Source organism: Homo sapiens, chromosome 5, assembly GCF_000001405.40.
Source record: "Homo sapiens chromosome 5, GRCh38.p14 Primary Assembly".
NCBI lineage: Eukaryota > Metazoa > Chordata > Mammalia > Primates > Hominidae > Homo > Homo sapiens.
In genome coordinates, this window is record NC_000005.10 from 373,344 (window position 1) to 397,953 (window position 24,610).

Below are 24,610 nucleotides of genomic sequence, written 5' to 3' on the forward strand. Positions count from 1 at the left end.
CCTCTCTGCAGACCCTGCGGGACCAGCAGGCCGGGCGGTGGCTGGGAGGCAGGGGACAGGTTGGCCTCTGCGGTCTTGGAGGCACAGAGCTCCTCCCGCCCTGGGCCTGTGGCCCCCTCCTGCTGGCCCAGCTGTGCCTTGTAAGGGCCACGGTGATGGCCCACCTTTCTCACCAATGCCCAGGAAGGACACCGCGCTCCCAGCTCCCTTCCTCCCCATCCACTCACCATGGGCAACTGCGGTGGCTGGGCGGAGGGGGGGTCTCTCTCCACATCACAGAGGAGGAGACTGGGGCTGGAGAGGTGGGGGATGGGGGCTCCCTCCCGGGGCGGACCCTCAGGTGGGACCCCCAGGCTCAGGGAGGGCGGGGGGACCTGGGGAGGCCGTGGCCGGGTCCGCCCGCCCCGTGTGCACCCGGAGCGCCCGCGCGGACCCCGAGCCCCATTCCCCGCCACGCGCCTGGCGCTCCCCGCGCTCCTGGGGCTCCTGGCGCCCTGCCCGGGCGGGCGGGGGCGGGAGCGCTGCTCGCACGCGAGGCCTGGCTGGCCCCATCGCGTGACGGCGCCGGCGGCTGCGGGGGAAGTAGGGGGGAAGTGGGCGGGCGCCCGCGGGGGGCACGCGATGCCGGGAGGGGCGCGCCCCTGCCGCCGCACCTACGCGCTTCTCGGGGAAAAGGCCGGGGCTGCCGGGTCCGCGGGGCGCATTGCGGGTGGGACGGGGTCGGCTCCGCTGCGGGAGCGACCCCTGCAATGGGGCTTGGCTGCACCGGCCGCCTGGGTGGTCGGTCTGTGTGCGGGTGACCCAGGCGTGTGCCCCCACCCGCGCTGCCCCAGCCCGCGGACCTCGGCGGGGAGCGCCCAGGGCCAGCACGGGGGTCTCACGGGGCGACCCCAGCAGCGTCTGTGTGGGGCCGCTCCTGCCCGGGTCTCTCCTCGGGCTCGGGGTCAGCTGCTGGGACACCCGGGGCGCCTCTTGCCCTGGCTTCTCCTGGGTCTGCACTTGGGAGAAAGATCTTGATTTTCACTGTTAAAAACCTTCAGCTTTCTGAACACGCGTATTGTGTGAACTGTGGCGTCTCTGGCTGAGCCTGGAGGGCAGGAGGCTAGGATGCTGGGGTTTCCAGGTGGGAAGAGGCCGCCCTTGCCCAAGGGATGCCCCCACCTCGGTGGACTGTTCATGCTTCCTCGGAATAGTCCTGCTTTGTGGCAGAAGAAATGGGGCAGTTTTTGTTACATTTAGTGCAGTGAACAAACATCCAGTTTTTACCAGCTATGGGAGTTGAGGGAGAAATGAGGGCTCAGAGACCAGGGAGGGAGGGGAACAGAGAGGCCGAGTCCCAAGGCCACCCGGTGCCACCGTCTCCGGGCTTCTGGCTGCCTCACCTCCTCACTCGGGCCCTCGCCCCCCACGGACACCTTAGCTCGTCAGCATCCCTGCAGCTGGTACCTCAGATTCTGAATCAATGGCTCCCAGTATGGCCTTTCTGGTGGAGGGTGGGGTGCTAGCCCAGTCCAGCAGCCGGTTCCGGGGTCCTGGCCTGATGGGGAGCAGGTTAACCCAGCGTCCGGACCCCACCTGTGCTCACCACGGCCTGGGGACACCACAGACGCTGGTCCTGTGGGTCTGGGGGCTGCCGGCCCAGGGACTGTGGGGTGAGGAGAGCTCAGAGCAAAGTGTGAACCACTTTGACTAGCAGGTGGATGCCTTCCTGGAAGTCCAGGAGGATTCCTGGGAGCAGGAGCCAGTGACCCACAATGAGGTTCAGGCCACACACATTTCAGAGCACTCTCAGGTGACAGACACAGTGCCCCTGGGGCTGGAGACTGGGAGTCCAGCCCACCCTGAGTGAGACATTATGCTTTTATTCAAGTGGTTATTCTAGTTCTTAAAATATCCAGCAGCCTCACATCATTTTGGGACTGTGATGGGCTACAAATAGACACGTGCGCTTTTCGATGAGGCGGTGCCCCTCAAACTTGATTTTCTGTCTGGGTCGGGCTCTTGCTGAGCAGTGGGGTGGAGGCAGCCAGGAGTCTAAGCTCGGCCCAGTGGGGAGTGAGGGTGGTGGGGGGCTGCTTTGGAAAGGGCTGTGTCTCCCTAACCCGCGGAAGTGGGCAGATCCGGTGAAGCATGGCCGCCTGGGCTGTGCCACGCCGGGACCCCGGCACAGGCTGCCCACCGTGAAGGACGGTGTGCTGGCCTTAAGGTGCCATGCGTGATGACAGTTTTTATGCCATCTCAAGGTCAGAACTGGTGGCAAGGTAGCATCTGCCTGAGCGGACACCACCTGTGACTTCAGCTGAGGATCCGGGAGACGCGGGAGCAGCAGATGCCCCCCCGGCCTTGCTGGGGTGCGCTTTGGTCCACGCACTGGGGCCAGCTGCTTGCTGGGACACCCTTGCCCCTCAGTCCTCTCAGAAGCTGGGGAGGGGTGTCCCTCCCATGTCTCCAGTGCCCATGAGGACACTGAGTGGGCAGTGAGCACCTGTGCTGGGTCCGGAACTCAGCCCTTGGTCAGTCTGGAAGGTGAACGTGTCATCTGTCCCCTTCTGCACCCAAAAATGGAGAATGCACCATCCTCAGGAGTGGGAGTGTCCTTGGGGGCTGTGCGCAGTCACTGGGAAGGGGGTAGCACTGGCGACTGTCCTGGACCTGCCTTTTCCTGCCCTGCGGTGTTCTGTGCGGCCCCTGGGGGCGTGGGGCCTGGCCTGCTTCTCACTAGGGAGGGGGCTGCGTGGGTTCCAGGAGGGAGAGGCGATGCGGGTGTGCAGGGCACAGAAGACCCAGGTGGACGCAGGGGACCTTGGCCCAGCCCTCAAAGGGGTGCAGCCCAACAGTGCCGTGGGTCTCAGGGGAGGGGCCGTAGGGACCTCCTGGGTGGCTTCAGGGGGATCTGGCAGGAAGCCAGACTTTGTCCCAAGACTGGGTGGGGGCCCTGGGGGGTTGGGCAGGAGGGGACAGAGAGCAGTTTCTGCAGAGCAGAGCGGGTGTGGGGGCGTCCTCAGGCCAGGCTCTGCCTCCATGTCCTGGTGTCCCCCTGCCTCTCCTGGCTGATCTGAGGCCTGTGTCTCAGCTCCTCCTGCCCCACCTTGGACTCTCAGGGCTGTGGAATGCTGCGTGGCCTGCAGAGGGGTCAGTGCAGCCCAGGCCAGATGTCAGGTGAGAACCGTGGGGTGAACGCGGGGAAACACAGGAAAGATGTGAATGAAGAAGAGTGGCCAGGCCAAGGGTTGGGGGTGCCTAATGTGTCTTTTCTTCTCTGACAGTCGTGCAGGAGCAGAGCTCACGGCAGCCTGCGGCCGGCGCCCCCTCGCCCGGAGACAGCTGTCCTCTTGCAGGGTCTGCCGTGCTGGAGGGAAGGCTGCTGTTGGAGGTGAGTGCCACCCTTGGTACCTCGAACACTTGACACTTGGTTCTCCGTGTCACGCGTGTTCAGGCTCAGTCATACTCCGTGTCACGCATGTTCAGGCCCTCACCCAGGAGGCCCTTAGGTTGTGAGGTTTATAACTGTCAGGAAGCGTAGGCTCCAAAATCTGTTGAAGAAGGGTGTCCCTGGGTCGGGGTCAGCCTTGGGTGTGAGCCTCGTAGGCTGGGACAGAGAAGGCAGCCCGAGAGCTCTCGGCCTTGTGTGCTACATCAGGAAATCATCCTCATTCTGCACCGTCTGCTTTTGCTTGTCGGTGAGAGAACCTTGTACAAAATTAAGCCTTTTTTCCCCCAAAATGAAGGATTTGGCAAAGTCTACACTGGGCTTCCCTGGTGTGGTTTCAATCTTGGGGTGGCCTGTGTGACACCCTGGAAGCTGTGGGCCTGGGCAGGAAGCTCTGTGGTGAGGGGGCTTTTCACCCCATCTCCCCCATCCCTGCGACTCTGAAGTGCTGAGTTGTCCTGTGCTGTAACGCGGGGCCTGTTACCCCTCTGGGAGAGGAGACTGTGGACCATTTTCCTAAACAAGATAAGATGGTGGCATGGAGCCTCCGGGGTGAATCCATTCGCCATTTTGAAGATGAAGGGGGTTGCTGCCTCCACCAGTGGCTGGAGAGACATGGGCCCTGGGTGGTCCCAGGATGGGGTTGAGTGGGCTTGCAGGGAGGAGGCGGGGACAACATGACATTTCCTGGGTAACAGGGTGGGCTCCAGCCGGAACTCAGGACCCCTGGGTGGGGCAGGAGGGCACCAGCCAACCCGCTCCAGATGAGAGGGTACTGGGGCCCTGGTGGCAGGCTGCCCCACAGCCAGCAGCCACTAGTCTCCCATGGAGCTGTGCACCCCCAGTGCCTGGGAGGGGCTGCTCAACCCCCTGCCCCAGATCCTCCTGTGTGTCTCCAGGTCAGTTCACAACCCCCAGCTCGCTCTACTCTGTCCCCGCTAGTGAATGGGTCCCAGCTCCTGGGGCCTGGGAAGCCTGGAGCCTGCGGGAGGGAGGCCTGGGCCTGGTTCCCTGCTGCTGGACTTCCCACCCTGCTCCCAGCAGCGTGGGATATTTTGGAGCTACCTTCAGGGGGACTCTCCAAGAAGACTTTGGAAGAGGCATGGAGGCTGGGGGTCAGGGTCCGCCCGTCTGCTCCTGACACTGTGGCCCTCCTGCTGCCTGGCCTGACTCCCCTACCTGGCCAGAGTGCTGGTCACACCCACTCTGTTCTGGGGGAGGTTGAGCAGTTCCCGAAGTCTCAGTCCACTGCATCTGGTTCATGTCCTCTGGCCCACGGAAATTTCTGGAAGTTTGCTTAGATTGCATCTGGTAGGTTGTATGGTGAGGGTTCCTCACTGATTGCCAGGGCAGTGAAAGGGGTTATATGCTCTTTTTGAAGCTTAAAAATATTCCAACAGGGCAAAATAAGCAAAGCAAGCAACAACAGCAGCAAATCCCAGCTTTTATTTCTAATCTTCAATCTCTTCACAATAAACTGAAAAAAAGGGGAGGTTTATGGCAGGGCACCCTAAATCCATAAACCGCCTTGAGCCGGCACAGGCTTCAGAGTGCTGTGGCCATGGTCTGTTGATTTAAGGTGAGGAAGTAAGGCTTGGAGCCACCAGGTGCCCTTTGGGGCTGAGCTGGACCCAGCGCTTCTGTTTATTTATTTATTTAAGATGCTCCACACGTTCAGAGAGGCTTTAGTAATGATCTAGAAATGACCCCTGAGAGTGTAGTCTGGACCTGGTGTTTCTTTGTCCTGAGTTCACTGGCTTGTCCTCCAAGCCTCCGGCCTTCCCCAGGGAAGCCAAGACAGATGGGCCACAGCCCGTGGCTTCCCCTGGTGCACATCTTGGTGCAGGTGCTAAGAGTGGGAGGATGGAGGAGTGGGGAGAGGTGGGAGACTGGAGAGGGAAACAAGGAGGAGGGCTCCAAAGACATGTGAGCACACAGAGGAGGCCCTGAGCTCCCTGCACAATACGAGTCAGAGCTTCTAGGTTTTCATTCTGTCTTTTAGGTGGGCTACAGGGCTGTTGGGTTTAGCATGACTCACTGGAGCCACGGATGTGGCCTGTCTCGGGCTAGGATGCTGTCTCACTGACTGCTTAAGTTCAGCTAGAATTCAAGTGTATGGTTACTGCAGGATACATTTTCTAACACTTATTTAAAAATTTACATACACTAAAGTTCATTCTTTTCGGCATTCAGTGGGATGTGACTGCCACCGTCATGAAGATTCAGAGCCATCCCCTCCCCAAACATTTCTCCTCTGCTGCTGTTTGCAGTCACAGCCCCCTGCCCCCAGCCACGGCCGATGTGTGCTCTATCCCTGCAGCCTGTCCCTTGCCTTTCTCTGGATGTCTTCCACACGGAGTCACACGCATGGCCTTTGGAGGCCAGCTTCAGTCAGCACAGTGCTGTTGAGATTTGCTCACGGTGCTGCGGGTCACCAGCTGGTTTCTTGTTGTTGCTGCCGGTTAGGATTTGGGCTCATCCACGGTGCTGCGGGCCGCTGGTTTGTTTCTTGTTATTGATGAGGTATGGACCAACCCCATGTGTCATTCAACTGTTGAGGGATATTTGGGTTGTTTTTAGGTTTTGGTGTTTATGAATGGAGCTGCAGTCAATAGACGTTCACATACAGGTGTTTCTATGAGCGTAGGTCTTCGTTTCATGAATAGTAAGCGTGTTTTTAACTCTTATCCCCCAGCAGTGAATGAGTGTTTCAGTTGCTCAGCATCTTTGGGTTTGCACTTGGTATTACTTTTTTCAAAGCCATTTTAATACTGGAATCTTGTTAGGGTTTTAGTTTGGATTTCCCTGTGACTAACAATGCTGCATATCTTTTCATGTGGTTATTTGCATCCGTGTGTCATCTTTGGTGAATGGTCTTTCAGATCTTTTGTGCATTAAGAAAACCAGCTCATTTGCTTGTTTACTATTCAGTTTAGAGATCTCTTTATATATTCTGGAAACATGTCCTTTCTCATATGTATGATTTATAAATATTTTCTCGTAGTCTGTGGCTTGTCTTTTTATTCTTTTGACAGGATATTACAGATAGTGAAAGTATTCCATTTTGATTAAGTTTAATTTATCAATTTCTCTTTTTGTAGATTGATTTTGTTGCCACATCTCATTACCTAACCTAAGGTTACAAAGATTTTTCTTTTATGCTTTCTTCTAAAGTTGTATAGTTTCATATGTTACATTCTGGTCTATGATCCACTTTTTGTTAACTTTGGTATGAGATGTGTGAGGTAGGGGTCAAGATTTATTGTTTTTGCATGTGACTATCCAGATGTCTCAGCACCATGTATTAGAAAGACTATCTTTTTATACTGAATGGCGTTTATACCTTTGTGAAAAATCAATTGGCTGTATTTTTGTGGATCTGTTTCTGGACTCTGTATTCTGTTCTATATATCTGTATTTTTAACCTTTTAACAATACCACATTATCTTACCTACTATAGCTTTAAAATAAGACTTGATATCAAATAATGTGAATCTTTCAATTTTATTCTTCCTCAGAATTGTTCTGGCTATTCTAGTTCTTTTTTTTCCATATAAATTTTAGAATTAGCTTATTGACCGATATCTACAAAAATCCCTGCTGGGATTTTGATTGAGATTGTGACATATCAGTAAATCAATTTGGGGAGCATTGGCATTTGAACAATACTGACTCTCCCAATCCATGAACATGGTATGTGTCTCTATTTAGGTTTTCTTTAATTATGTTCATCGGTGTTTTGTAGTTTTCAGCATACATATCCTGCATATTTATGTTAGATTCATGTTTAAGTTTTATATTTTTGTTCTTAATGTAAATGAGACTTTTTTAATTTCAATTTTTAGTTCATTCCTAGTATATAGAAGTACAATTTATTTTTCTAGGTTGACTTTGTATCCTATGACCTTGCTAAACTCATTAGTAGTCATGGGAGCTTTTTAAAATAGATTCCATGGGATTTTTTAAAACATAGATTTTATTAGTCAGGAGTCTCCAGAGATACAAAACCAATAGGTTATATGTGAGGAGCCTTATTAGAGGAATTGGCTTACATGATCACAGAGACAGACAAGTTTCACAATAGGCTGTCTGCAAGCTGGAGAACCAGAGAAGCTGGTAGTGTGGCTCAGTCCAAGTCTGGAAGCCCCAGAACTAGAGAAGCTGATGATGCAGCTCCTAGCTCAAGGCCAAAGGCCTGAGAGCCCCCAGGAGGCCACTGGTGCAAGTCCTGGAGTCTAAGAGCTGAGGAACCTGGATTCTGATGTCCAAGGGCAAGAGGAGAAAAAGGCATCATTCCCTGGAAGGGAGAGAAAGAGAGAACAGAAAGCAAATTCTCCTCTTCTTGTGCCTGTTTTTCCCAGCTGGGCCTCCAGCCAGTGGAACTGACCCACATTAAGGCTGATTCTTCCTCTCTCAGTCCACCGAATCACATGCCAATCTCCTCTGGAAACACTCTCAGAAACAATTCTCCACCAGCTGTCTAGGCATCTCTCAATCCAATCCAATCGACACTTGAAATGAACCATCACATAGATTATAATTGTTGTCTGAGAATAGAGTTGGTTTTATATTTACTTTTTCAATCTATGTGCCTCATTTTCCTTCCTTATTGCACTTCTAGGATGTCCAGTACAGTATAGATTAGGAGTGGTCAAAGAGGCTATCTGCCTTGTTCCTGATTTTAGGGGGAGACCTTTAGTCTTTCAACATTAAATATATTAGCTTAGGTTTGCTTTTTTTTTTTTTTTTTTTTTTTTTTTGAGACAGAGCCTCACTCTGTCACCCAGGCTGGAGTGCAGTGGTGCAATCTCGGTTCACTGCAATCTCTGCCTCCCGGGATCAAGCAATTCTCTGCCTCAGCCTCCCAAGTAGCTGGGATTACAGGCATCCACCACCATGCCCAGCTAACTTTTTGTATTTTTAGTAGAGACGGGGTTTCACCATGTTGGCCAGGCTGGTCTCGAACTCCTGACCTCGTGATCCACCTGCCTTGGCCTCCCAAAGTGCTGGGATTACAGGCGTGAGCCACCGTACCCAGCCTGCTTTTTTTTGTTTGTTTTGTAAATGCCTCATATCAGATTAAGAAATTTCCCTTTTATTCCTTGTTTTCTGAGAGCTCTTATTGTGAATGGATGTTAAATCTTGTAAAATACTTTTTCTGCATTTATTGAGATGATTATGGTTTTTCTTCTTTAGACTGTCAATGTTGTACATTACATTGATTTTAAAATGTTGAACTAACCTTGCATTCTTAAGATAGATCTCATTTCTATTTTGCCCAATTCAATTTGCTAATACTCTGTGGGGACTTTTATGCCTATGTTCATGAGAAATACTTTTTGTGGTTTTCTTGTAATGTTTTTGTTTGATTTTGATGGGTTTGAATATCATGGTAACGCTGGCTTCTTAAAATTAATTGAGGGTATTCCCTTCTCTTCTGTTTTCTGGAAGACATTGTGTAGAATTGGTATTATTTTCTCTTGAAATGTTTGGTAGAATTCATTAGTTAAAACATCTTGTCTGGGAGATTTCTTTGTTAGAAGATTTTTAAACCATGAATTCAATTTCCTTGGACTGTTGAAGTTTTTCTTAGGTGAATTGTACTAGTTTGTGTCTTTCAAGGAATTGGTTCATTTCATCTACTTTATTGAATTTGTGATATCAGAGTTGTTCATGACATTACCATGTTGATCTTTTAATGTCTGTAGGTTCCATGGTGATGTCTCCTCTTTCATTTCATTGGTAATTTGTGTCTTCTCACTTTTTCTTGGTCAGTTGAGTTACAGGCTTATCAATTTTACTGATTTTTTTTCAAAGAAGCAGCTATTGGTTTTATTTTCTGTTTCCAATTTTATTGGTACCTGTTCTTATCTTTATTATTTTCTTTTCTTTGCTTGGTTTGGATTTAATTTCCTCTTCTTTTTCTAGAGTTTTAAGGTGGAAGCTTAGATTATTGAATTTGTCTATTTGTCTATTTTCCATTTCATTAATTTCCACTCTTCTTGTTTGTAATTTATTTCCTTCTACTTGCTCTAGTTTTAAATATTTTATTTTTCTTTAGATACTTAAGATGGAAGTTTAAATCACTGATTTTTTTAACTAACCATTCTTACTCTGTAATATAAGCATTTAATGCTATGAGCTTCTTTAAGCACCTTTACCTGTATTACACAAATTTTGGTATGCTCCGTTTTCATTTTCATTTAGTTCAAAATGGTTTCTAATTTTACTTGGAACTTTCTCTTCAACTTGTGTTATTTAGAAGTATGTTGTTTAACTTACAAATATTTGGACATTTTCCAGGTATCCTGATGCTATTGAATTCTGGCTCAATTTTGTTATGGTCAGAGAATATACTTTTTAATGATTTCTATTCTTTTATATTTGTTAAAGACAATTTTAATATGGTCTGTCTTGATGACTGTTCACTGCACTGGGAAAATAGGGGTATTCCACTGTCATTGTGTGAGTTGTTCTGTAAACATTAATTATATCCAGTTGACTTGTTGTGTTCAGGTTATTCTTGATTTCCTATCTAGTCTCAACCTGAGAGAAGAATGTCAACATCTTAAAGTACAATTGTGGATTTTTATATTTCTCTTTTTGGTCCTTTCAGATTTTGCATTATGTATTTTGGAATTCTGTTTTAGGGTACATACTCATTTAGGATATTACTGTGTTTTCTTCATGAATTGACCCTGTATGTAAAATGCCTCCTTATTCCTGGTAGTTTCTCTTGTTCTGAAATCCACTTTGTCTGGTACTAATATAGCATTCCAGCTTTCTTTTCTTTTTTTTTTTTTAATACAGACAGGGTCTTGCTCTGTCACCCAGGCTGAAGTGCAGCAATGTGATCATAGCTCACTGTAACCTTGAACTCCTGAGCTCAAGAGATCCTCCCGCTTCAGCTTCTTGAGTAGCTGGGACTACAAGCATGTGCCACCATACCCAGCTAATTAAAATTCTTTTTTATAGAGATGGGGATGTCCCTCGTTGCTCAGGATAGTCTAGAACTCTTGGCCTCAAGCTGTCCTCCCACCCCCGGCCTCCCAAAGTGTTGAGATTACAGGTGTGAGCCACCACACCCAGCCCCCAGCTTTCTTTTGATTAATGTTTGCTTGGAATATCTTACTCCATCTTTTTACTTTTAATCAATTTATGTCATTATATTAAAAGTGTGTGTTTTGTTGGCAGTATGTAAGTTGGGCCTTGATTTTTTTTCAATCAAGTCTGACAATCTCTGTCTTCTAATTGGTGTGTTTGGGTCATGTGTCATGTATGTTGACCCTGTATGTAAAATGCCTCCTTATTCCTGATAGTTTCCCTTGGTAATCATTGATATTATTGGATTTAAGTCTACTGCTTTATTATTTTTCTATTTTTTGTTCTCCTCTTTCATCTTTTCTGCCCTCTCTTTGATTATGGGAATATGTATTGGTATTACATTTTAGCTTATCTATTCGCTTTTGGGTGTATATTTTCTTATTTTTTAGTAGTTGTTGTAAGGATTATAATATATAAATCCTACTTTACAAAGTTGAAATTTTACTACTTCAAGTAAAACCTCAAAACCTTAAGCCACATAAATCCTCTTACACTTTTGCTTTATATTTGTCATATGTATTATATCTACATACATTAAACCCTCCAGACAATATAATTTTTTTGAGATGGAGTTTTGCTCTTATCACCCAGACTGGAGTGCAATGGCATGATCTCGATTCACTGCAACCTCCACCTCCTGGGTTCAAGCGATTCTCCTGCCTCAGTCTCCCGAGTGGCTGGGATTACAGGCGTGCACCACCATGCCCAGCTAACTTTCATATTTTTAGTAGATGGGGTTTCACCATGTTTGCCAGGCTGGTCTTGAACCCCTGACCTCAGGTGATCTGCCTGCCTAGGCCTTGCAAAGTGCTGGGATTACAGCCACCGCACCCGGCCCAGACAATATAGTCATAAATATTTTAAAGAACTTGAGTTTAAAATAGTATACATATTTTCCCAGATACTTGCCACGTCTGTTGTTCTCCTTTGGTTCCTGAGGTTTTGCATTTCCCTGTGGTATCAGTTCTGTTTAAGAACTCTCTTTAGGCCGGGCGCGGTGGCTCATGCCTGTTATCCCAGCACTTTGGGAGGCTGAGGCAGGCGGATCACAAGGTCAGGAGTTCAAGATCAGCCTGGCCAACATAGTGAAACCCTGTCTCTACTAAAAATACAAAAATTATCCGGGCGTGGTGGCACATGCCTGTAATCCCAGCTACTCAGGAGGCTGAGGCAGGAGAATTGCTTGTACCCGGGAGGTGGACATTGCAGTGAGAAAAAACAAAAACAAACAAACAAACAAAACTCTCTTTAGCACTTCTTATGGTGCAGGTCTGCTGGTGATGTGTCTTTTATTTATCGTTTTTTTTTTTCTTTTGAGACAGGGTCTCAACCTGTTGCCCAGGCTGGAGTGCAGTGGCATGATCATACCTTACTGTAACCTTGAACTCTTGGACTCAAGAAATCCTTTTGCCTCAGCCTCCCAAATAATTAGGACTACAGGTGCACACCACCATGCTCAGCTACTTTTTAAATTTTCTGTAGAGATACAGGGTTGCTATGTTGCCCAGGCCAGTCATAAACTCCTGACCTGAAGCAGTTCTCCTGCCTCAGCCTCCCAAAGTGCTAGGATTACAGGTATAAACCACCATGCCCAGCTTCGCCTCCATTTGTGGTGAATACTTTTGCTGGGTATAGAATTCTGGGTAGTTATTTTTTGTCTAGCACTTTAAATTTGTTGTCCACTATCTTCTGGCCTCTGTGGTTTCTGATGAGAAATTCACAGTCATTCAAATTATTGTTCCCTGTGTGTTATGTGTCATTTTTCTCTGGTTACCTTTATGACTATTTCTTTATCTTTAATTTTAATTTTGATGCTTAATTATGATGTATCTGAGCTTAGATATTAGAGATTTTCCTGTTTAGGGTTCGCTGATCTTCTTGAACCTGTTCATTTATTTCACCAAATTTGGGAAATTATTCTTTATGGCACCCATCTTTTTCTTCCCCTCCATTTCAGAGACTCAGTTGATGAAAATGTTAGACTTTTTAATATTTCCTCACAGACCTCTGAGGCTGTGTTCATTTTTTTCAATGTTTTCTTTCTCAGACTAGATAATTTCTGTTGAACTGCCTTTAACTTCACTGATTCTTTTCTCTGTCGCCTCCATTTGCTATTAAACTCATCCAATGAAATGTTTACTTCATGTATTTTATTTCTCAGTTCTAAAATTTCAATTTCATTCTTTTTTTCAGTGTCTGTGTATCTGCTGGGACTTTTTAGCTTTTTTTTAAATTTCAAGAGTCTTTACCTTTCCCTCATGGAGTATGGTTATATTGGCTGTTTAAGATCCTTATCTATCATTATATCATCTGTGTCATTTCGGAGTTTATTCTCTGTTTATCATCTTTTCCCTTGAATATTAGTCCCATATTCTGGTTCTTAGGATGTACAGTAATTTAGGATTGTGTGATAGACAGGATAATGGGCCCAAAGCTGTTCACATGCTGATTCCCAGAGTCTGTGAATATGTCACTTTACGTGGTAAAAGGGATCATGCAGATGTGATTAAGCAGGTCTTGAGGTGGGGAGATTATCCAAGCAGGTTCACCGTAATCACAAGAATCCTTAAAAGTAGAGAATCTTTCTCACTGGGCCAGAGAAAGAGATGTGGCAACAGAAGAAGGGTCAGAGTGATGCTGCATAGCTGGCCTTGGCCCTGAGCCAAGGTGTGGAGCGCAGGCAGCCTCTTGAAGCTGGGAAAAGCAGCAAGATGGTTCCCCCTAGGCCTGCAGATTCTGGAGCACAGCCATGGGGCTCCTCGCTTTAGCCCACGGAGATCATTCCAGGCTTCAGCCACGGGTCTGTAGGGAATGTGTTTGTGTTGTTGGAAGCCATGAGTGTGTGGTAATGTGCTACAGCAGTAACAGGGAGCTAACCCAGACGTCATCCCGGACACTTTTCACCTGTGCCCTGAGGCTCTGGGTCCTGGAACTAACCCAGACTTCATCCCGGACACTTTTCACCTGTGCCCTGAGGCTCTGGGTCCTGGAACTAACCCAGACTTCATCCCGGACACTTTTCACCTGTGCCCTGAGGCTCTGGGTCCTGAGGCACCATCTAGGGAATGTGGATTATTTTTTGTTTTGTCTTAGTCACAGGCAGCCCAGTAGTGAGGCTCAGCTCGCAGGTTCTCTCTCCTTCTGGGAGCCTTGTTTCCATATCCGTTTGATTGTCAAAGCCTCTGCTGCACGGGGTGGGTCTGCCCCTGACAGGCAGTCCTTGGGGCCTTGGGCACAGGTTCACGTCAGTGCAGCTCAAAGTGCTTTACGCTGTGTCTCTGGTGTGTTCCACACCTGCAGCTTGGGATGAGCCAGGACACGTGTCAGTTCGTACACAGAAGCGGGGTCCTGTCTCCTGCTCTCTCCTCTGCTTACGTCCCCCACCCTGCTGCCTCCTGGGGATGACTCCTGGTCTTCTGATGAGAAAGACGATGTTTCTCTTGGGGTCATAGCTGCCATTCCTGCTGCATGGTTCTGTGCAAACAGGCTTGCTGCCAGGACAAAGTGGTGAGAGAAAGGGAGGAAAAAATAATGAGGATTGCCCTCTTCTTGTACAGCAGGGACCCCATTGTGGGGGTCCTCCATCCACAGGGACGGATTTTCTCTCCAGGTGCTTATGTGCACACAAACCTTTGCCACAGCAGCCACGCAACAGGCACACAACAGCCATGCAGCACGTCCCTCCACCTGCCTTTCACCCTGTCTGCTGAGGGATGAGGCACTGTTGGAGGTCCTGGGACAGGGGCCTGACCTCCTCAGCCTCTTCTGTGGCTTCTGACAGCAGCAGTGGTAATACCGGTAACACATAGTGGTGATGGTGGTGGACGCTCGTGTTTTCTGAGTGTGATCGTGTGTCCATACGCTGTACCTGCCGGAACTTGGCGACACCATGTCAGCTTCCTGGGGCAGCCTTAATGAATGACTGCAAACTGTGTGGCTCGAACAACAGGGGTTATTCTTCACAGCCTGGAGGCCAGGAGCCAAAACCAGCGCCGATGGGCTGCAAGCGAGGTGTTGGCAGGACGGGCCCCTTGACAAAGGCTCTTGGGGAGAGTGTACTCCACACCCCCTCGCTTCTGGAATGTTCTTCTTGTGAATCTGCATCTCTGTCAGTGTGTCTGGGTACAAATCTCCCTCTTGTAAGGACAGCAGTCATACTGGATTTAGGGCCCACCCTAATCCAGTGTGACCTCATCTCAGCTTCGTGACATCCGCCACTGTCCTATGTCCCAATACAGGAAGGTCACATTCATGGGTTTGGAAGGAAATGAATTTTGGAGGACACCACTCAGCCCAGTACCACTGTGCTTACCTCACAGCTCTATCGTACCAGACAGGGGAAAGCTCAGGTTGGAAGAGCTCAGGGTTGGGGCAGAAACTCAGGCCTCCCCCCGTCCCGAACCCAAGCCCTGAACTGCTGTCGTACACAGGGCTCAGTGCGACTGCGCCTGGGGCTGCCCCAAGACTGTGAAGCTCATGGACTCACGCAGCCATCCATCGATGGCTATGGGGAGGGTACCTGCCATTACCTCTGTTTATGCTTGGGGAAACTGAGGTGCTGTGAGGTTGTATCTGTCACACCCTTGTAAGGAGGGAGCCGGGGTCCCCACTGCTGCTTTTCTCCCAGGGGGAGCCTGGAGGAGTGGGGTTTGGACACCCGGCAGGTCTCTTCCAAACCAGGGCGTCTGCGGTGGCCCTGAGCCGAGGCTGCTTCATGCCAGGCAGCCCTGAGGGGCCGAGCCGACTGGAGGGGCACAGCCTGGCATGGGGCTTGGTGACATGAGGAGCGGGGGTGTCAGAGCCAGGGGCACCGTCCTCCCATTGGCCAGGACGAGGACTAAGCTGTGACCCCTCTGGGCCCTGAAGAGCATCTCGGGGGACTTCAGTTTCAAACCTCAAAGCCACTGGGCAGAGGTTCCGTCCCGCTGGCTGGATGGAAACAGGAAGCTGGCAGGAGGACAGTGTGGCTGGGCCAGATGCCTGAGGACACAATGCTCATGACAAAAGCAGCAGGTGCGGAGGGTTTCCGCCGGTGCCTCGCACAGGAGAGAAGATGGAGCCGAGTGAGGACCCAAGAGCAAAGGGCCCCAAGCAGTTGTCACCTGAACGGGAGGGCTGGCTGGGGCTCAGGGCTGTCCTGGGGGCCCTGCTGGGCCAGACGCCCCATGAGCCACATGGTCACAGTCTGGGCACGATTCTCTCTCCTCAGGGAGACCATCTGCGGCAGGGACCAGCCGCCCCATGAGCCAGGTGGCCATGCTGACGATGCCCTGGCGGAGGGGAGCCCGGGGGCCCAGTGGGGTTGTGGGGGTGTCGAAGGCGGGGGTGAGGGAGGGGGGTGAGCTGGGGCTGGACAGTGAGCCGAGGCTCCAGCAGATGCGGCTGAAGGAACAAACTTTAAGGGAAGAGGCTGTGAACCAGGCAGCATCCACAGTGCGTGAGTCCACGTAAAGCCCTGAAAACCAGAGAGATCGCTGGGAAGTGGCACAGTGGCCACCGGTGCCCGAGCGACTCGGATCACATTCTCAAAGTGAATCAACGACACCAACATCAAGCCACATTCAACGCGAGGGAGCCACGTGCTGCGTAGCCGGAAATCCCAATGCGTGATGCAGCTGGACGTGCTTCAGATGCTGCTGAACAGTCGAGGAGCCCTTAGCCACCCAGGTCCCCCCATTCTGTGGAAAAGCTCGAGGGGCTCTTCCTCGGCCCTGCAGAGGTGGCAGCTGGGAGCCCTGGACACCGAGCCCGGGCCCTTCCCCCAGACCAGCGTCAGAGCACTGCACGCCTCCACCACAAGGCCTCTGGGGGGTCTGACGGCCCAGAGAAAGGACCAGGGCGCAGATATGGCGGCCCCCAGGACACACGGCACAGGCCCGCTCTGGCACCTGCGCCAGCATTGCTGGGTTCTTAAGGAAAGAGGCCACCGTGAAAGACAGGAGTGAGACCCAACCTGAGAAGACGAGCTGGAGGGAACAGAGATGCACAGAATGAAGAAAAGACAGAGGCAGGAAAGGAAAGGGTGGGGGGAGGGGAAGGGAGGGAGGGGGAGGGGGAGGGGAAGGGAGGGAGGGGGAGGGGAGACAGGACAGAGGCTGGAAAGGACAGTGATGCGCAGAATGCAGACAGGACAGGACAGGAAAGGAAAGGAAAGACAGAGGCCAGAAAGGACAAAGATGCGCGGGACGAAGAAAAGACAGAGGCCGGAAAGGACAGAAACACACGGAATGAAGAAAAGACAGAGGCCCGGCATCTGTGGCACAACGCGGGGACTGCAGTCAACGGTAACTTAATCGTACATTTAAAAATAACGAAGAGTGTGATTGGATTGCTTGTAACACAAAGGGTAAGTGCTGAGGGATGGACACCCCATCCTCCATGTGACCGTTATGCATCACACGCCTGCATCAAAACATCTCAGACACGCCATAAATATATACACCTACTGTGTACCCACAAGCATTAAAATAAAAAAATTTCTTAAAAGAAAGACAAAGGCAGCTGTCATCAGGATCCTCGGAGACCAGTGAAAGCACCGCACCGACCAAATGAAAATCAGTCGCTGCAGAAAGAAAATTCAGACATGAAAACGGCTCAACAATTAAAAGCATGAGAGCAAAAGCCCTAACGATCCCGGAGAAGCATTTGACGTTAACGCTGAAGAGGTCTTTCCATGAGTAAAGGAAAAAGAGGTGGAAATAATAAAGTCAGGAAAATGAGCAGAGCCTGAGAGACGCCGGGGGTCAGAGCTCCAGGAAGATCGGAGGGCAGGGAGTCTTCAAGGGGAGGTTGAGCTGGCTTCCCAGAGCCCAGGGCATGAGTTTCCGGGTTGGAAGTTCCTGCTGGGATCTCTGTGAGATTCCACACCCTCGTGGACAAGGAGAAGATCCTAAATGCTCCCAGAGAGGAGGGGCGGGTTTCATGGAAATGATCCAGAGACAGAGACCTGGATGCAGGAGGCCGGGAGGAAACGCACAAACGCCTTCCAACCTGGAGTTCACGCACACCCGGGGGCAGGGTCTGAGGTTTTCTTCTTTCAAGTTGTTTCTCGGAAAGCCCCTGGAGGGCTTCTCCACCAGAACCAGCCACAGAAGGGGTCTGGGTGGGGATGGGAGCCCCTCCAGGAGGCAGTGGCAGAGATGGGAACTACCACCCAGGCAGAACATCCTCAGACAGACGGGAGAGGCCCCAGAGAGGCTGGGATGGACAGGAACCAGTGCAGGGAAGGTGCATTCAACTGAGACTTGGGGGCTCCATCAGCGGTGGTGTGAGTGAGTACCTGGGAAAACTAAGTCAGCAAAGATGCAAGCAACTCCAGGCCAACAGGGCTGCTCAGGCAGAGTGGAGGATTCAGAGGCTGCACACACCTGGGTGACAGGAGCTCTGCGGGGGGAGCTGAGGGCAGTCATGACACAGCCAGATTAGGAAGGTGGGCCAGAGCGTGCACGGGCGCAGGGCGAGGCGGGCGCAGGGCGAGGCAGGGCCAGAGCGTGCATGGGCGCAGGGCGAGGAGGGCGCAGGGCGAGGCAGGGCCAGAGCGTGCACGGGGGCAGGGCGAGGCGGGCGCAGGGCGAGGCAGGGCCAGAGCGTGCACGGGGGCAGGGCGAGGCGGGCGCAGGGTGAGGCAGGGCCAGAGCGTGCATGGGGGCAGGGCGAGGAGGGCGCAGGGCGAGGCAGGGCCAGAGCGTGCACGGGGGCAGGGCGAGGAGGGCGCAGGGCGAGGCAGGGCCAGAGCGTGCACGGACACAGGGCGAGGAGGGCGCAGGGTGAGGCAGGGCCAGAGCGTGCATGGGGGCAGGGCGAGGAGGGCGCAGGGTGAGGCAGGGCCAGAGCGTGCATGGGGGCAGGGCGAGGAGGGCGCAGGGCGAGGCAGGGCCAGAGCGTGCACGGGGGCAGGGCGAGGAGGGCGCAGGGCGAGGCAGGGCCAGAGCGTGCACGGACACAGGGCGAGGAGGGCGCAGGGTGAGGCAGGGCCAGAGCGTGCACGGGCGCAGGGCGAGGAGGGCGCAGGGTGAGGCAGGGCCAGAGCGTGCACGAACACACGGGTGCAGGGCGAGGCAGGCGCAGGGCGAGGCAGGGCCAGAGCGTGCACGGACGCAGGGCGAGGAGGGCGCAGGGCGAGGCAGGGCCAGAGCGTGCACGGGCGCAGGGCGAGGAGGGCGCAGGGTGAGGCAGGGCCAGAGCGTGCACGAACACACGGGTGCAGGGCGAGGCAGGCGCAGGGCGAGGCAGGGCCAGAGCGTGCACGGACGCAGGGCGAGGAGGGCGCAGGGCGAGGCAGGGCCAGAGCGTGCACGGGCGCAGGGCGAGGAGGGCGCAGGGCGAGGCAGGGCCAGAGCGTGCACGGGCGCAGGGCGATGAGGGCGCAGGGCGAGGCAGGGCCAGAGCGTGCACGGGCGCAGGGCGAGGAGGGCGCAGGGCGAGGCAGGGCCAGAGCGTGCACGGGCGCAGGGCGAGGAGGGCGCAGGGCGAGGCAGGGCCAGAGCGTGCACGGGCGCAGGGCGAGGAGGGCGCAGGGTGAGGCAGGGCCAGAGCGTGCACGAACACACGGGTGCAGGGCGAGGCAGGCGCAGGGCGAGGCAGGGCCAGAGTGTGCACGGGCGCAGGGCGAGGTGGGTGCAGATGTGGCAGGTGCAGACGCGGCGTCCACAGCCAGGCCTAAAGACGGTGTCTGAAGCTGGGGAAACCCAACAGTGACTCGTTATGTAAGCGTGTGACTTAGCAAGACAGAGGAAAATGCCCAAACCGCCGGTGAGAAGGGCTCAAAGCAGTCGCTCAAAGCAGCAGGAAGTGATGTGGCGGGAAGGCTGGTTTTAGGGACAACGGCTGAGTTTCGGTGGAGGCTTGCATGCTGTGTGACTCTTCAGACCTGGCTCATTTCACGTCGACTCTTCTTGCCCATTACGTCATTTCATCAGGCCTTACCGCGACTGCCTCAGGCCTTACCGTGGCCGCCCCAGGCTTACTTTGGTTCTTGGCTGCTTGGACTGTCTCCCCCATGCCTTCATTTTCTGCGTTTCCTTCTCGGTGTAGGTGCCTCTTGCAGGTGACGGGTCAAGGGATCTCCCCCCACACCAAGCGCCGTCTTTCACTGGGGCCCACCTACTTCTTGTGATTCTTTAGGAGCTGATTTCTGTCATCCTATTTTGTATTTTCCATTCACTGCACATCCTTTGGGTTTTTTCCTCCCCTAACCCTCTGTTAGATAAATTGAGCTTTCTTGAACTGAAGGTGCACATTCTGCTTTTGTTCTCATGGGGATGCCTTTGAAATGAGAGCTTTCAGGTTGATTTGCTGTTTCTCAGGCTCTTCTGCGGTGATGTTCCCCCAGCAGGGCCTGTGCCGGCACAGACGCGTCCTCCGGCCCTCCCCACGTTGGCAGCACGTTGACTGTGTCTGAAGCTTAATCCCGATGTCACAGATTCTTGTCTTTGCACCTAACGTTACGTGTCTCATCCAGCCCAGGGCACCCGATCACGTCGCTCACTAACCGATCCTTCCTCCTCCCGAGTGTTCCTCTAGCAGTCTGCTGTGGGCCTTGCTGTGAAACCTTCTGGGCACCTCCACGAGTGGGAGAACACTGCTGTGTCTTCGTGCGTGGACGGTAGCCAGGCTGCACGCAGAGCTCCAGGCTGAAGCCTGTCCCAGTGTCTGCAGGGCCACGTGGCCTTGCTGCTGAGCCTGGTGGGTCTGCTCTTTCCTGGAGGCTGTGCTCTTGCTCTTCTGGGAGCTATTGCAATGTTTTATTGTTTTATTTGTTTTCTTTGGTTTTTTTTTTGAGACAGAGTCTCACTCTGTTTCCCAGGCTGGAGTGCAGTGGTACGATCTTGGCTCACTGCAACCTCTGCCTCCTGAGTTCAAGTGATTCTCCTGCCTCAGCCTCCCAAGTAGCTGGGATTATAGGCGTATGCCACAATGCCCGGCTAATTTTTGTATTTTTAGTAGAGATGGGGTTTCACCATGTTGGCCAGGCTGGTCTCCAACTCCTGACCTTAAGTGATCAGCCTCCCAAAGTGCTGGGATGACAGGCGTGAGCCGCTGCGCCCGGCCTATTGCAGTGTTTTCTTTCTGGTGGTCGAGAGTTTTGTGGCGACGTGTCCTCTGTGAGTTCTTCCCAGCCGAGGTCTCTCATCTTTGGTTCTGGACATTCTGTGTCTGTCGCTGCACTGGTGGTGTCCCTCTCCATTCTTGCTTTTATCTTCTGGACCTGCTGTTATCCAGGCAGGGCCCTTCTGCAGCCACCCTGCTGGCTCTGGGTTTCTTGCTGGCTCTGTCTGGGTGGCAGGAGGGAGGCCCTACAAGGAGCCTCCAGGCTGCAGCTTTGTGCTCAGCTGCATTCCTGCTGGCGAATGTTTTCTCTGCTCCAGGGCCTCCCCTTTCCTCCCTGTGTGCTGGAACCCTCTTGTCTCTCCCCTTTCCTCCCTGTGTGCTGGAGCCCTCTTGTCTCTCCCCTTTCCTCCCTGTGTGCTGGAGCCCTCTTGTCTCTCCCCTTTCCTCCCTGTGTGCTGGAGCCCTCTTGTCTCTCCCCTTTCCTCCCTGTGTGCTGGAGCCCTCTTGTCTCTCCCCTTTCCTCCCTGTGTGCTGGAGCCCTCTTGTCTCTCCCCTTTCCTCCCTGTGTGCTGGAGCCCTCTTGTCTCTCCCCTTTCCTCCCTGTGTGCTGGAGCCCTCTTGTCTCTCCCCTTTCCTCCCTGTGTGCTGGAGCCCTCTTGTCTCTCCCCTTTCCTCCCTGTGTGCTGGAGCCCTCTTGTCTCTCCCCTTTCCTCCCTGTGTGCTGGAACCCTGCTTGTCTTCGCCCGTTGCTTGGCTCCACTTTCCTGGCTGTGCCTCCTGTCTCTGGTCCCCGTGTGCGCTGGCTCCGATTGGGCCTGTGTGGGGCCGGACAGGGCTGGCCCTGGTTGCGTGGAGGGCAGAGGGGAGGGCAGGTGGGCAGGGCCAGCTCCTGGGTGAGGAGTTTACCTTTGAAGGGAGCACCGTGGGAGGGAGCACTTTTGCCCCGAGTCCTCCCCAGCCTGGGGGTTTGCACAAGAGGAGGGAGGGTGGGTGCTGGAGCTGGCGGTGCGGCCGTGTCAAGCTCTTGCGTCTCCGGATCTTGCCCCTCAGGCCCCGGCCCCAGCCTCCTGCTGTCGCCCCCCAGGCAGGGCTGTCTCGAGGCATCTTGGGAGGGCAAAGGCAGGACGGGAAAGTGATTTCTCCCACCTGTATTTTGACTGTGACCCCAAAGCCCCTGCCCTGGGCCGTGGCTCCCAATCTCCTCCACACCTAACCCCAGATAGCCCAAGACTTCTGGGGTTCCCTCAGCTTTTCTGGGGATCCTGTCCTCAAGTCCCCCTCCTGCCAGGTGGCCGACACTGGCTGCCCTGCGTCCCCATTCCCTGAATGACACTGGTGCGGAATGCAGACAGAGGGGGCCTGGGAGACACGAGCCCCGGTGGTGGGATGCAGTTAGCTGAACGCCAGGCTGAGCAGGGTCCGAAAATTAGGGGAATAAAAGTCCCGGGAGAGGACAAGGTGGCAAACAGGAAGGGCAGCTGACTCACCAGCCCAGAGCAGGGGAATCTCACCAGTTCCCTGAAACAGAGCTTCTCAGCTCCAGGACTGGACAGGCAGCTTCCCAGAGGCCACTGCAGGCCAGGTCATCAGAAGCGCCTGCTCCAGCTCCCACCCTGCCTGTGCCCAGTGGCAGCCGAGCAGGGCCTCACAAAAACAGCTGTGAGAACAGCCTTGCGTGTCTGGAAGCCCCAAGCCGCTCGGCAGACGGTCATCGGGCCGCGCTGCTGCTCTGGTGTGGTTTCTGGAAAATTCCTGAGAAGTCCCCAGGAACCAAAGTGTCCAGCAGTTGAAATTTAACAAGTGGGGAGACACTCCTCCGCCACAGGCTGCTGTCCTAAAGAAAGGCCTAGAAGCCCTCCCAGCTGGGGCTGCGCACACGTTCCTGTGAGGGACCCTTTGGGAGAGGATTGAGTGAGGGGAACAGGAGGTGAAGCAAAAGGGATGAGCGTCCCCTTCCTCCAGCTTCCTCCATGCAGTGATGTTGCCTGGCTCTAAGGGGCTCCTGGTACGAGGATTAGGAGGCCATGGGTCGTCCAGAAACTCAGGCCAGAAGCGAAGGTATAAAACACCAGATGGTAACACAGGACCACAACTCAGGAGGCTCTGGGAGCACAAAGTGGGGGTACCGGGGAAACGAGCCCGGGAGGGTAAGAGAGGGATGGGGCAGTGGGGGCCTGCAGCCCAGGAGCGGGAGGGTCCCAGCCCCCATGACAAGGCGGCAACCCAGACAGAGGGGCCCCGGGCCTTGGGCCTGTCCTGGCCAGGACAAATGCAGGGTATGCCCTCCTGCCCTCCTTCTGGGCCTGGCACCCCCATCCTCAGGGGAGGCATGGGGGCTGGAAAGGACGGCCGTGTGGGGACAGCAGGCTGGGAGGGGGCATCCCACACCCCCCTTTGTCCCTGACTTTAGAGGTGATGGGGGTGGAGAACCAAGCCCCGCATACCATGGCTGGGGTCTGTGTGTCTGGGGGTACTGAGGCGGGCGGCCCCAGCCTCACCCTGGCATACGCCGGCCACCGTGGAGAGAGCTCCATGATGCCCAAGCCTGCTCCTGCCTCTGTTCTGGGCACTTTCCCACAAGCCCCACAGAACACACTTGGCCTCATCTCCTGGCCTGGCATTTTCTGCCGCTTCTTCGGCCTTTCTGCTAAGAGAAATCCACGTTTTACCGTCTGTTGTAGCTGCTGGGCCTGCTGTTCCGAAACTCCTTTCAAGTGGCTTTCATTTCAGGAGTCCATCAGATGTATGTAATAAATAAAGGTATGGCCAGAGGTTTCACCAGGGAGGAAGCATGCCGGCCCTGCAGCTGGCCTGAGAGTGGGCACAGCAGGAAGGTAGTCCAGCTCCCCCTGCATTCGCCTGCCCGCCCTCTCCCCGACCCCCACCCGCCCATCCACATCCCAGGCCAGTTCCAGGAGGCTGGGGACCCCCGCCCAGCTGGGTCAGAGTGCCCGGCTCCTTGCCCACCTCAGAGGCTGCTGCAGGTGTCTGGGGCCCACACCGGCCTCTCTGTGACTTTTAGATCTCCAGGACTCTCCACCATTTACCCCTACTGTCCATGTTAGCCCCTGACCATCCACGTTAGCCCCTGACCATCCATGTAGCCCCTGACCATCCATGTTAGCCCCTGACCATCCACGTAGCCCCTGACCATCCACGTAGCCCCTGACCATCCACGTAGCCCCTGACCATCCATGTTAGCCCCTGACCATCCATGTTAGCCCCTGACCATCCACGTAGCTCCTGACCATCCATGTTAGCCCCTGACCATCCACATAGCCCCTGACCATCCACGTAGCCCCTGACCATCCACGTAGCCCCTGACCATCCACGTAGCTCCTGACCGTCCATGTTAGCCCCTGACCATGTTAGCCCCTGACCATCCCTGTTAGCCCCTGACCATCCATGTAGCCCCTGACCATCCATGTTAGCCCCTGACCATCCACGTAGCCCCTGACCATCCATGTTAGCCCCTGACCATCCCTGTTAGCCCCTGACCATCCACGTAGCTCCTGACCATCCATGTTAGCCCCTGACCATCCACATAGCCCCTGACCATCCACGTAGCCCCTGACCATCCACGTAGCCCCTGACCGTCCACGTAGCTCCTGACCGTCCATGTTAGCCCCTGACCATGTTAGCCCCTGACCATCCCTGTTAGCCCCTGACCATCCACGTAGCTCCTGACCATCCATGTTAGCCCCTGACCATCCACATAGCCCCTGACCATCCACGTAGCCCCTGACCATCCATGTAGCCCCTGACCATCCACGTAGCCCCTGACCGTCCACGTAGCTCCTGACCGTCCACGTAGCTCCTGACCGTCCATGTTAGCCCCTGACCGTCCACGTAGCCCCTGACCATCCACGTAGCCCCTGACCGTCCACGTAGCTCCTGACCGTCCATGTTAGCCCCTGACCATGTTAGCCCCTGACCATCCCTGTTAGCCCCTGACCATCCACGTAGCTCCTGACCATCCATGTTAGCCCCTGACCATCCACGTAGCCCCTGACCATCCACGTAGCC

General features: G+C 53.5%; 1 protein-coding gene and 1 long non-coding RNA gene across 4 annotated transcripts in view, besides 4 other annotated features; both read left to right on the plus strand.

The window, feature by feature from the left end:
- The window catches only part of PDCD6-AHRR (PDCD6-AHRR readthrough (NMD candidate)), a 166,640-nt gene that overhangs the window by 101,698 nt on the left and 40,332 nt on the right, over positions 1 to 24,610 (plus strand). For both annotated transcript variants that reach the window (NR_165159.2, NR_165163.2), the window contains exon 6: positions 3,267 to 3,373. This is a non-coding gene — a long non-coding RNA (PDCD6-AHRR readthrough (NMD candidate)). The remainder of the gene's footprint in view (positions 1 to 3,266; positions 3,374 to 24,610) is intronic.
- Positions 1 to 24,610, plus strand: part of AHRR (aryl hydrocarbon receptor repressor) — a 116,572-nt gene that overhangs the window by 51,630 nt on the left and 40,332 nt on the right. For both annotated transcript variants that reach the window (NM_001377236.1, NM_001377239.1), the window contains exon 4: positions 3,267 to 3,373. In NM_001377236.1, the coding sequence (NP_001364165.1) occupies positions 3,267 to 3,373 (107 nt within the window). The remainder of the gene's footprint in view (positions 1 to 3,266; positions 3,374 to 24,610) is intronic.
- Positions 11 to 90: a silencer, noted in NCBI's record as "silent region_15868". NCBI's record gives its function as "represses an Ori minimal core promoter by ATAC-STARR-seq in GM12878 lymphoblastoid cells {active_cell/tissue: GM12878}" and the evidence as "EXISTENCE:reporter gene assay evidence [ECO:0000049][PMID:35858748]".
- Positions 371 to 830: a silencer, noted in NCBI's record as "silent region_15869". NCBI's record gives its function as "represses an Ori minimal core promoter by ATAC-STARR-seq in GM12878 lymphoblastoid cells {active_cell/tissue: GM12878}" and the evidence as "EXISTENCE:reporter gene assay evidence [ECO:0000049][PMID:35858748]".
- Positions 881 to 1,020: a silencer, noted in NCBI's record as "silent region_15870". NCBI's record gives its function as "represses an Ori minimal core promoter by ATAC-STARR-seq in GM12878 lymphoblastoid cells {active_cell/tissue: GM12878}" and the evidence as "EXISTENCE:reporter gene assay evidence [ECO:0000049][PMID:35858748]".
- Positions 19,240 to 19,579: an enhancer, noted in NCBI's record as "active region_22281". NCBI's record gives its function as "activates an Ori minimal core promoter by ATAC-STARR-seq in GM12878 lymphoblastoid cells {active_cell/tissue: GM12878}" and the evidence as "EXISTENCE:reporter gene assay evidence [ECO:0000049][PMID:35858748]".